This window comes from Homo sapiens, chromosome 3 (genome assembly GCF_000001405.40).
Source record: "Homo sapiens chromosome 3, GRCh38.p14 Primary Assembly".
Lineage (NCBI taxonomy): Eukaryota > Metazoa > Chordata > Mammalia > Primates > Hominidae > Homo > Homo sapiens.
The window spans coordinates 17,475,451-17,488,303 of NC_000003.12; the positions used below are offsets into that span (position 1 = coordinate 17,475,451).

At 37.3% G+C, this 12,853-nt stretch overlaps 1 protein-coding gene across 65 annotated transcripts in view; it reads right to left on the reverse strand.

Annotated features, from left to right (window-relative positions):
* TBC1D5 (TBC1 domain family member 5) overlaps positions 1-12,853 on the reverse strand; it is a 585,470-nt gene that overhangs the window by 318,289 nt on the left and 254,328 nt on the right. Inside the window, exon 3 of one of the 65 annotated variants that reach the window (NM_001349085.2) lies at positions 3,828-3,925. The exons of 63 other annotated variants lie outside the window; for them this stretch is intronic. Coding sequence is in view for 1 of the 2 variants with exons in the window: in NM_001349081.2 (NP_001336010.1) it covers positions 3,828-3,945 (118 nt within the window). In the remaining variant the exon portion in view is untranslated. Of the gene's footprint in view, positions 1-3,827; positions 3,946-12,853 lie in introns of all 65 variants that reach the window. One more of the 65 variants, NM_001349081.2, reaches the window with a different exon arrangement.

Sequence of the window (12,853 nt, forward strand, 5' to 3'; positions counted from 1 at the left end):
ACTTTAGTAAATGTTATCACCTCTCTAGTCAGTTGCCCAATGCCAAAAATCTAGGAATCTTTCTAGATAAATCTTTTACCTCACTGCCCTGCAATCATCAACAAGTAGTTTTCTCTACCCTAAATCAAAAATATATCCGGTATCTGTTTAATTATCTTCATTTCCACTACTCCTCTTCCCAGTCTAACCCCACTATCAACTCTCTCCTGAGGATGGCATTCCCAGTCAGAAGCTGAAGAAATTATTTGCACTGCTGATACACATTTGGACTGTTTCCAGTTTTGTTATCATAAACAATGTTCTTACACACAATTCTTGATGCAGATATGCAATAGTTTCCCTGTGTTCCTAGGGTATGGTCATATTCAATTTTCTTGTAATGCCAAGTTATTTCCAAAATGTTTGAACCAACTTTAACTCCTATCAGCAACGTAACAGAGCTCACGTTTCTTCACACGGTGGCAAACTCACATTAATTGATTTTTGCCAATCTAGAGGTTATCATATGTTATCTGACAGGGATTTTATTTAAATTCTTCATACATATATGGCTATTGCATGGTTCCTTTACTACAAAATATAGGCCTTTTTCATGCCATTTTCATATTGATTCATAAGAATTCTTCATACCTCTTGGATGCTAAACTTTTTTTAGTTTTGTATATTATCATCTTTTCTTAGACTGTGGTTTGTATTTTCACTCTGTTTACAGTATCTTCTCATAATAGTTTTTGATTTTGCAATAATTTAATTCTATATATATATTTTTTCCTTTTTGATATTTGAAATTATATTTTCTTCTAAAAGTTTTATAGTTTTGCTTTACACATTTAAGTTTTTAATTTAGGAGAATTTGGTATTGTTAGTAAGATGTGAGAAAATAATTCATTTTTGTTTTCCACCCAAATGAAAAATCAGTTGTCCTCTGCACCACTTAATGAAGATGCCATTCTTTCACCACTGATCTATAATTTCAGCTCTGTCATGTATTTGGTTTTCATGTAAGTTTGAGTCTATCTGTCTATCTGTTCTTCCCACTAGTCTATTTATCAAGTCATGAGCCATTATCATATTACCTAGTTATATAAAATGTGCATGTTTTTTTTCAGAAATGTCTTGACTATTGTACCTTTTTTCTATTAAATACTTGAATGACCTGCCAAGTTACTAAAAATAACAAATCAATGTAAAAATTTTGACTGAAAAATACACTGAATCTATAGATCAATTTGGGGAAAACCTAATAACTCTGTGACAATAAGTCTTCTCATCCATGATCATGGTGTGTCCTCTATATTTATTCAGGTCTTCTTAAATGTCTTCCAATGAAGTTTCATAACGTTCTCCACAAAAACTACCACATAGTTTACTGATTTATTGAAGGTTTACTCATATTTTTGTACTGTTATAAATGCTGTATCTTTATTGCTGGTATATTTGTAAGTGCGACTGATTTTGCACACGTTATATAACAAGGAATATAGGTAAACTAAATTATTAAATTCTAATAATTTATGTGTAGATTTTTATTTCTAATTTTAAAGAGAAAACTTTTAACATTTTACATTGAGAAGGATTTTAGTGTAATTCTTTTATAAATGTCCTTCTTCATATTAAAGAAGGTCTCCTCAATCCACAGTTTGTTAACAGTTATTTTATCACAAACTTATGTGAATTTTTTTAATGTTTCCCCTACAACTACTGAAATGACTTTTCCACTTTGCTAATAAGCTAAATTACAAAAATAGATTTTCCCTAAGTACTAACCTTGCATTCCCAGGATAAACAAAATTTGGTAAAATATGTTTATCTTTTTACCCATGCTGGATTCTGTTTACTAATATTTTATTTTTATCCATATTCATGAGCAAGAATGGACTGTACTTTTTCATAATGCTCTTGACTGATATTGTTACAAAGGTTATACCAGTCACGTAATATAAATTTGAAAACATTCCCTATTTTTCAATTCTCTGAAAGAATTTTCTCTTTATGTTTTCTAGAAATCATCTGTCCCCAAATTGGGATTGGTGTTTTCTGTCTGGGATTATAATTATTTATTCCATTACATCAATGGTTATAGTATCACGCAGAAACTTATCTCTTCTTTTATATTTTAAAACTTGTGATACAACTGTATAAGTCATTGTATGTCCGTTATAAAAATCACTTAATCAAATAACCAACTTTTCTCATTTTTAAAATTTTCATACATACTTAATGGCTACATATCCATTTATGTAACCATAGTTTTTGATGTGTAAAATATAACCTAGAAAGCAATGTGTATACACATTACCCATAATAAATGTTTACTATATTGTTTAACAAGTTTAGAAGTATGTATACACATTGCTTTCTAGGTTATATTTTACTGAACTGAACTCTATTTCAATAATTCTTGTCTTTATAGAAATGTATCCACTACACCTTAGTTTTCCAATTCATAGTCATAAAAATGTTCACATAAGAGAATACTTGTATTGTCTTTTTAACCAGTTCATAATTCTGAATGGATTTTAGAAAGATATTTTAGAGGTTAAAAGACTCTCTCTAGAAATGTGATTGAAATTAAACTTGATTAAAGAATTTATTTTAAAGACCTCACTATACCTTTTCATATGCAATACATTTTTAATCTGGAAAATCCAGAAATTTAGGAAAACGTTTGTTTTTTTGCTTGTTTCCCATTAGCTGCTTTACTGTTGAGCTCTCATTGCTTCCATTATTTTTCAGTCAATTGTCTTAGGTTTTCAGTTAATTATTTTGTGTCTTTCGGTAATGCCATCTTTTTTTGGCTGATTAACATAAAATATTTACATATCATAAATGTTCATTTATTTTTGAATTAGTATCTGTGAAAAATTGATGGTATTAATGGCCCAATTACTCCCTTCCTAAACATATGACATTCAGGGTGTGACTTTCCAGCTTCTTCCATCAAAAGGTAGTGGCAACATAGTAATACTGAGTCTTCTAATCCATGAACATGAAATGTCTACTTATTTATAACTTTCCTTAATTTCTTCCAGTATTGTTTTATAGTTGTCAGTGTACTTCCTCTACTTTTGGTGTTAAATGTATTCCTAAATATTTAGTTCTTTTAATGCTATCATGAATAGAATTTTTGCTTAAAATTATTATAGGATTGTTCACTGCTAGTATACAAAAATACAATTTTTGCTACCTCTAACAATTTTGCTACCTCTAGCTGGCTTTGTTACTTGTCTTGGCCAAGAAAATGTGGCAGATCTGACAAGGTCACAGTACCAAGTCTAGATCTCATGAAATCCTGAAACCTGGCAGTTTGTTTACTTGGAAAGCTGACATCACCATGTAAACAAGTGATGGCTACCCTGCTGGAGGATGAGACATGTAGCTTACTGAATCTCCAGACACAAGTGACACAATCTTAGATCATCCATTGCTTAGACACGTAAGCAAGCTCAGCTCAGAGTAAGAGAATTACTCAACTTGCTCACTTTACCATTACCCATAATAAATGCTTACTATATTGTGTAACAAGTTTAGAAACAGTACGTCATACAAACCAAGTTAACTGATACACTATCTATGAATAACATGAAATATTAATGCTTGGTAAATAAATGGCTACACAGCTCATTTTAATCACTGAGCTAGATATATGTCATCTGAAAACATGCAAAGGCTGGACGTGGCGGCTCACATCCATAATCCTAGCTTTTGGGGTGGCAGAGGCAAGAGGATTGTTGAGCCCAGGAATTCAAGACCAGACTGGGCAAAGTACTGAGACCCTGTCTCTACAAAAATAAATTTAAAAATTAGCCAGGCATGGTAGCACATACCTGAAGTCCCAGCTACTCCAGAGACTGAGAAAAGAAGATCACTTGAGCCCAGAAGGTTGAGACTGCAGTGAACTGTGATCGCACCACTGTGCACAAGCCTGGGTGAGAGACACCCCATCTCAGAAAAAATAAAGAAAGGAAACACTTTCAAACAATATATCAAGGTGTAGTTCAAGAAATGATTCAAAACATAATATTAAAGTTGCAAAACTCTGTGATACATTTTTACTGAAAACTATCTGATAAATGGAATAAACATGTTTGAACTTTAAAAATCAGAAAAGAGGTCAGTCATGGTAGTTAACACCAGTAATCCCAGCACTTTAGTAGTCCGACATGGATGGAGCCCAGGAATTTGAGACCAGCCTGGGCAACAGAGTGAGACCCCATCTCTACAAAAAAATTAAAAAATTAGCCAGGTATGCTGTTATGTACCTGTAGTCCTAGCTACTCAGGAGACGGAGGCAGGAAGATCACACTGATTTCAGCAGTGGCCTGTTTGGTGGGGCCACTGTGAAGATGCTGGGTGCAGTGGGGGAGGCGCTAGCTGGGGCTGCATGCTCTATGAACCTGCGGGAGCGAGGGACAGGCAGGGAGCCCCTCTTCCTATCAAGTAGGCAGGGCTGGAGCCCCACGCTCTGGGGCACAGCTATAGCCACACAGCTCCAGACCAAGGAATCCCTGTGCTCTTGGGGTCCCAGGAAGCCCCTTGTCCCTGCAGCTTTGAAAGTGCCTGATCCTGTGGCCTGGCCTCTCCCTGCTCCTGGTGTCCGCTCTCTGGAGTGAAGCAAAGCTGTGGCTGAGTCCGGGCACTATTACGACCCAGCTGGGTGTGCACACACATAGGGCGGCACTGTCATGCCGGCCCCCTGCCACCTCAGTCCCTTCAGGACTTCGGGCACCAGCGAGCGCAGGAGAGAGGGTGATGAGCAGCTAAGGGTGGCTCAGCATGTGCCTGCAAGCACCCCTCAGCTCAAAAACCTGGGCGCCATGGATGACATGCTGATGGTGGCAGAAAGCAGACAGGCTCTCGGGCAGAAACAGGCAGCTCCCCAGTGAAGCCCCGCCTTAAAGCCAGGTATGGCCTGAAGCATGGGGGCCAGGCTGTCACTTCCAGGTGAAGCCCCTGCCAGGAGTGACAACTTATGGTGCTTTTTCCAGCCTGCCCTTGGACGAACCAGCATGTACTTCCTCCCTTCTGAGCCCATAAAAACCCTGGACCCAGCCAGGACTACCAGCTACGGGAAGGAGTTACCCACCTTGGGTCTCCTCAATTCATGGTGACAAACTGCCTGTGGAAAGGAGCTACCCACTCCAGGTCTCACCTCTGCTAAGCGCTGGACATTCATTAGGACAACCTGCTTGCAGAAAGGAGCTACCCACTGCAGCTCTCCTCTCCACTGAGAGCTGGAGACTCATTGGGACTACCTGCCTTCAGAAAGGAGCTACCCAGTGAGGGTCTCCTCTCTGCTGAGAGCTGGACACTAATCAGGATGACCTGCCTACGGAAAGGAGCTACCCACTCAGGTCTCCCGAGAGCTGCCGTTACTCACTGAAGCTCCTCTCTGCCTTGCTCACCATCCAGTTGTCCGTGTACCTCATTCTTCCTGGATGCAGGACAAGAACTTGGGACCTGCCAAATGGCAAGACTAAAAGAGCTATAACACAAATGGCTTGAAACATGCTCCCCCACTGCTCACCACATTGTGGGCAATCAAAAGGAGAGAAGAGCTAGGGCCCTTCAGGGACCCTAGAGTCAGGGGCTCCCTGAACCAGGGTTGTGACAACCTCTTTGGGGTTCTGTGGTTCCTGCTTTCTCCAAGCTTCCGGGTGCCATCATGTTCCCCTCGTCCAGATGTGGGTGCCCACAATGGAAGTCACGTGCAGTACATCTGATCAAGCCGCAGCTTTGCACAGAGCCAGCATCTGTACCGGCACCTAGGGCTGCCCGCCCCACCGAAGCAGCTGACGTGCCTGGCTGCGTGCAGTGGCCAGAACCCATACTTGCTCCACTCTGTGCCTGGCTCACCCTTGGAAGGCATGGGATTTGGGTGAGTAGCACGAGCCAAGCACAGCCTGCCAAGCCAAGTGGATGGAACAAGTCCAGCAGGCACAAGCAGTACTCAGGTAAAAGGCACCGCCTGCCACAGAGGTTTCCAGCTGGCAAAGCAACACCCCAAGTAGCCCATGACAACTTAAGCCTGTGAAGTAGAGGTTGCAGTGAGCCATGATCTGCCACTGCACTCCAGCCTGGGCCACAGAGCGAGACCTGTATAGCTTATCTTCACAGAGTATGTCCCAAATTATGCCTCTCACCTTTTTAAAACAAGATAGGAAACACTTATTTCAGAAAAATTAACAATGCCACTCTTCGTAAGAATAACTATGTAGAATAAATATGCTATAAGCCTTAAAAATGTATTGTATTAAAATACTTCAATGTTGCGTTTCTGGCAAATGACTTTATTTTTTTTTGAGACGGAGTCTCGCTCTTGTCGCCCAGGATGGAGTGGAGTGGAATGGCACGATCTTGGCTCACTGCAACCTCCACCTCCCAGGTTCAAGCGATTCTCCTGCCTCAGCCTCCCAAGTAGCTGGGATTACAGGCATGTGCCACCACGCCTGGCTAATTTTTATATTTTTAGTAGAGACGGGGTTTTACTATGTTCGCCAGGGTGGTCTCGAACTCCTGACCTCAGATGATCCACCAGCCTTGGCTTCCCAAAGTGCTGGGATTACAGGCATGGGCCACCGCGCCTGGCCGACTCATTTATTTAAATAAATTAAGATACAAAGAAAATGATCCTTAAATAAACGCCTTCAGAACACAATTGTCTGAGCATTGAAAGGTGTTTACTATGGAAAACAATGATCCAAAACTTAAACAAGAGTCATGTATTTTGATATCTGATAACATATACCAAAAGCTCTGTTCAAATGTTCCCTATAACGTGTACCTTAAGGCATAGTTTAAAAGACAAAAAACTTCTTAAAGTCATTTAAAAATAAATAATATTAAGTGATTAATAATAAGGTACTGGATATAGAAAGGTAAACACAGAGACACTTATTAGCAAAGAAATAGGGAGAAATTAAAATAACCCTGCAATACTTTTGTGTATGCAATTTATCAAGAAATGTTGAAAGAGAACAAAACAAATGTTGGCTCATTCTGGAGCTTCTTTGTCATCATTAATGTATTCAGGTTTTCACAGCTGAACTGCTATACTTTGAAAAGATTTTCATGAAAGGAAATTCATATTCAATGTTTAAACAAAGCTGTCAGGTTACCAAGATTAAAATTCGTTTGAGTGTCCAGAAAATATTTTCTTAAAAAATAAAAATAAAAACTAAGTTGGTCTTTATTTGCAAACAAAATAAAAGAAGGCTTTGTTTACCAGTGTGTATTTATTTTTGGAGCAAATATAGAGAAAGAATAATTTTAAAGCAAAAGACGAACTATTTTATATGGCTATTTTTTCATTACTAGTTCTGTTTCTCAAATTGATACAAATGATCTCCTTCTGTTTCTGTCTGTCTGCTTGCCTTGTCAGTACAACTAATTGTCAGGATTGGGGAGATCTCCTATATCTAAACAGAAGACGTGCAGTTTGTAACCTGCTTAATTCGCCTTATGTCCTACATGCCCTCAGTATGGTGTTCATTAAAGTCTCAGATGTTTTGTTTGTATCAGTGGCAGCCTAAGCACAGGCTTATTTTTCTTTGTTAAAAGGCCAGATTGTGCATAAATATACACCTAATCTATGTGAATGTGTGTATATGTGTGTTTAAATGGCAAAAAATTACCATGCATGTAAATACTTCTTAGTGTTTCCATCGCTTGCTCTCACACCCGAACTTCGACTATTGCCTAGATGTAAGAACAGCACCCCTCAGGCTTTACAGAGAACTTTAATATAACAGCCATCTCTAAAATTAGATAAACCATATAAGAACTGCAAGTTGTTATAAATGAATTCTATGGAATGCCATTAAAAACCATTCTTAAACCACCCCCCACCCCACCCCATACTTCCTCCCCTAAAAAAGTTCCTAGTAGACTAAATTTCTATTCCTAATTGCTTCCATAAATTTCTACAGAAGGTCTAAATGAAACCTATTTATATTTGCCTTGGCAATAGCAAATGGCTCAAATCAATTACTTTTTAGGGGTGGGCTTGAGAAGAAAACTCAAAACTTTGCATTTAAGTGGTCAATCCATAACCAAAATTTCTACTCAGCTTTGGTCCATGTTTAAGTAGACTATACTATTACACTAAGTTTTTTAATGTACCACATAAATAAATCTTATTGATATGTATGCAATAATTACAAAACTCACAATTGAACTGTATATTATTAAAAGTGTTCACATTTATCAAATTAATCAGAATCAAATCATTAAAAGAAGAAGGTATAGAAATGTGTTAGATATTTACTGCATTTTTGGGTGAAATTTAACAAGACAAAAGATTTGTTAATAAGTTACTTGTGATGTTAATTTTAACACACAATTAATTAAATGTACATAAAGGACTATTAAAGTAGTATGCCTGACAGCTGTAAAAAATAATTTAACCTTTGAAAGAGTAAAAAATAAATACTGTCTATTGAACAGTTTGGCCCATACCTTATTTAGTTCTTAAAATTGGCTATTAAATACAGCAGCCTGGACATGATAACTTTAGGAAAACAATCAAAATTTTATCTTCAAAGAATTCTCTCAAAACCATTAGACAACTGGAGAAAGTGGCCTCATTAGGTAAAGATACTACCTATACCACCACTCACTGGATATTAAGTATCAAAAGAACCAGACCCAAGGATCTCCTTTTCACTCCTAATGTTAATTTGTGAATCATTCAGTTTATCCTTAAAGACAGGAACAGAAACTGAAGTTCAATACTATTTCAACATAAAATGATGTGCAATAGAGTACTATTTTCGATATGAAACCTGTCACACTCCTGATGTCATAATTAAAACAAACTTAATCAAAAGGCCTATTAAGAGATAACAAAACAGTTTACTATGGTGTGCATAGAACTAAAACTTCAGAAACAAATTAATCAGAAACTCAAAAATTGATAAAAGGTCTCCCGCCCCAGGTTTGGGTAACAATCATAATTACTCAAAGCATCCTGAGGTGACTTTTAAAGATAATAAGGTAACACCAGGGTGTGTGTGTGTGTGTGTGTGTGTGTGTGTGTGTTTGGGTAACAATCATAATTACTCAAAGCATCCTGAGGTGACTTTTAAAGATAATAAGGTAACACCAGGGTGTGTGTGTGTGTGTGTATTCCTCCCACTCAGGCTCAAGTGAGCCTCCCAAGTAGGTGAGACCAAAGGTGTATGCCATTATGCTTGGCTAATTTTTTAAATTTTTCATAGAGATAGGGTCTTCCCTGTATTGCCCAGGGTGGTCTTCCACTCTGGGCTCAAGTGATCCTCCTGCCTCAGCTTCCCAAAATAGTAGGATTACAGGCATGAGCCACTAGGCCCGACCTTAAAACCAAGTATATATGCTACCATAGACTTCCTTTCCTTAAGATGAATTTACAGGGTACATGACAGAATCTCTGTACTTAACTGATGAGAGGCGAGAGTGGAAAATGAGGAACCCACATTCACTCTACTTGAACTGTCTTAATAAAATTAAAGAGAATAATATATTCAATGACTTACTTTTGCAAGGTAACACTGGACAACACTATTATTTAACAGAGATATGATAAACATAAGATGAAAATTATATTAGAGAATATAAAATCAGCACTGAGCAATTTTGAACTATGATACTATTATGCATACAACTGTCTAATAATGAAAAAAGAGAAAAATGACTATTTAGGATTTACCTAAATGTTTCTGGTACCGAAATAAGGAATGGGTTTATTTTTTTAAAGTAATTGTGAAGTTTGTGATTCCTCTGTTTATATGCCTGAAAACATTATTACTTTCTATGCTCTCTATATTCAATTACTTTTAAAGATAGAATTTTTTTAGTAAAATTTTATTTTATTTTATTTTTTTTACATTTACAAGCCAATATTCTTTATTATTATTATTATTATACTTTAAGTTTTAGGGTACATGTGCACAATGTGCAGGTTAGTTACATATGTATACATGTGCCATGCTGTTGTGCTGCACCCATTAACTCGTCATTTAGCATTAGGTGTATCTCCTAATGCTATCCCTCCCCCATCCCCCCTCCCCCCACCCCACAACAGTCCCCAGAGTGTGATGTTCCCCTTCCTGTGTCCATGTGTTCTCATTGTTCAATTCCCATCTATGAGTGAGAACATGCGGTGTTTGGTTTTTTGTCCTTGCAATAGTTTGCTGAGAATGATTATTTCCAATTTCATCCCTGTCCCTACAAAGGATATGAACTCATCATTTTTTATGGCTGCATAGTATTCCATGATGTATATGTGCCACATTTTCTTAATCCAGTCTATCATTGTTGGACATTTGGGTTGGTTCCAAGTCTTTGCTATTGTGAATAGTGCCGCAATAAACATACGTGTGCATGTGTCTTTATAGCAGCATGATTTATAGTCCTTTGGGTATATACCCAGTAATGGGATGGTTGGGTCAAATGGTATTTCTAGTTCTAGATCCCTGAGGAATCGCCACACTGACTTCCACAAGGGTTGAACTAGTTTACCGTCCCACCAACAGTGTAAAAGTGTTCCTATTTCTCCACATCCTCTCCAGCACCTGTTGTTTCCTGACTTTTTAATGGTCGCCATTCTAACTGGTGTGAGATGGTATCTCATTGTGGTTTTGATTTGCATTTCTCTGATGGCCAGTGATGATGAGCATTTTTTCATGTGTCTTTTGGCTGCATAAATGTCTTCTTTTGAGAAGTGTCGGTTCATATCCTTTGCCCACTTTTTGATGGGGTTGTTTTTTTCTTGTAAATTTGTTTGAGTTCATTGTAGATTCTGGATATTAGCCCTTTGTCAGATGAGTAGGTTGCGAAAATTTTCTCCCATTTTGTAGGTTGCCTGTTCACTCTGATGGTAGTTTCATTTGCTGTGCAGAAGCTCTTTAGTTTAATTAGATCCCATTTGTCAATTTTGGCTTTTGTTGCCATTGCTTTTGGTGTTTTAGACTTGAAGTCCTTGCCCATGCCTATGTCCTGAATGGTAATGCCTAGGTTTTCTTCTAGGGTTTTGATGGTTTTAGGTCTAACGTTTCAGTCTTTAATCCATCTTTTAAAAGTCTCTTCACAGTACATGAGTAGTAGTGACACCAATAATGTCAGAGCAGGGAACTCCCAGGTTCTGCCCATCCACAAAAACAACAAATAAGCTGGCAAAAACTTTAAGAATCAACTTTTGCAGATCTCTGAAATCTAGTCAAAACTTAAACAGAGGAAAGATTAATAAAGACGGGCTGCACTGAGATAACACTAACAGCACACTGTGGCATTTTAAGTAGCCCACCTAGCATCTTCACCCTCTAGATCTACTGCAGCAGTAAAGTGGCAGCTTATATTCCTAGTGCCAGAGGGAGCTATGCAAACTTTATAATGAAAGAACTGTGGGTTGAATGTTTCAATCTTTCTGGCAGCTCCCTAAAGGATGAGAGCAAGTGCTTGCCTTTGTTTTGCCCAACTCATGGGTGGCTTCTCTAGTGGTGGTTTTTTAGGATAGTCTATTTAAAGAAAATATTAGAAAACGGCATATCCTAGTACTCTGTCACATTCCCACTACAGATATTATTTCAGTAACATAGTGATAGTTAATTCTACAACGGTGGTCAACAAACTAAAGCCAATTGGACAAACTGGCTATAGCCTCTTGTTTAAGTAAATAATGTTTTCTTGGAACACATCTACACCAATCTGTTTATTTATTGTCTCAGGTTCCTTTCATGCTAAAGTGGTATGAACTAAAATTTTACTATTTGGCCATATAAGAAAAAGTTTGTTGACCGCTATTCTAGAGAATAATCTACTATAAAAACTGACCTCAGATTGACATTTGACAGGTATACTAAGATTTCTCTATCCTGTCCATTGTAAGTAACCAAGCTATCAAAATACAGAAAAATAACACTAACAGTTTATGTAAAAATATGAGTTAACATAAACAATATTTCCAATCCAAAATTAAGGATTGGTCATTTTTTGAAAAGCACTTTGCTCACTAATTAACAAGAGAATTCTTACAAGAACTGTTAAATGAAAAATTAGATGTTAGAAGGTCATGGGTTACAAAGACCACTTATGCAAAAGATTAAATCATAGAAGGATTTGGCCAATTCTAGGAGTGAGACTGAGAACTATAAACCAAAAAGGTTTGAGCTACATTAATTAAGAGATGTAAGCAGAGAACCTAACACATCTATTTCTAATAATTTGTAATTTCAAGAATCACTAGTTTTGAGTATTCAACATATTTCAAATAAACTAAGCATGTGTTTGTATTAAACTAGCATGAGGAATAAAGGGAAAAGTTATGGTACCATCTGAAAAAGTAAAAGTCAATGGAAGAAGAATCCTGGGATCTTGGATTCTTTTTAATTAATAGATTTTATTATTTTTAAAAGCAATTTTGAGCTTACAGAAAAACTGAACAAAAGTACAGTAAAGAGAGTTCATACCTACTCTACCACACAAACACAGTTTCCACTATTAACATCTTCCATTAGTATAGTGCATCTGTTACATGAATGTGCCAATGGTAACAAATTATTATTAAACTCCATAGTTTTACATTAAGCTTCACTCTTTGTGCTATACATTTTATATGCTTTGACAACTTATAATGACATGTGCCCACATTACAGTACCATACAGAATAGTTTCACTGCCCTAAAGATCTTCTGTGCTCCACCTATTCATTCTTTCCTGTTTCCTGGGCCCCTTGGCAACCATCGATGTTTTTACCGTCTCCTTAGTTTTTCCTTTTCCACAATGTCATATAGTTGGAATAATGTATGTAGTCTTTTCAGATTAGTGTCTTTTACTTAGCAGTATGTGCTTTTAAGGTTCCTCCATGTCTTTTTGTGCT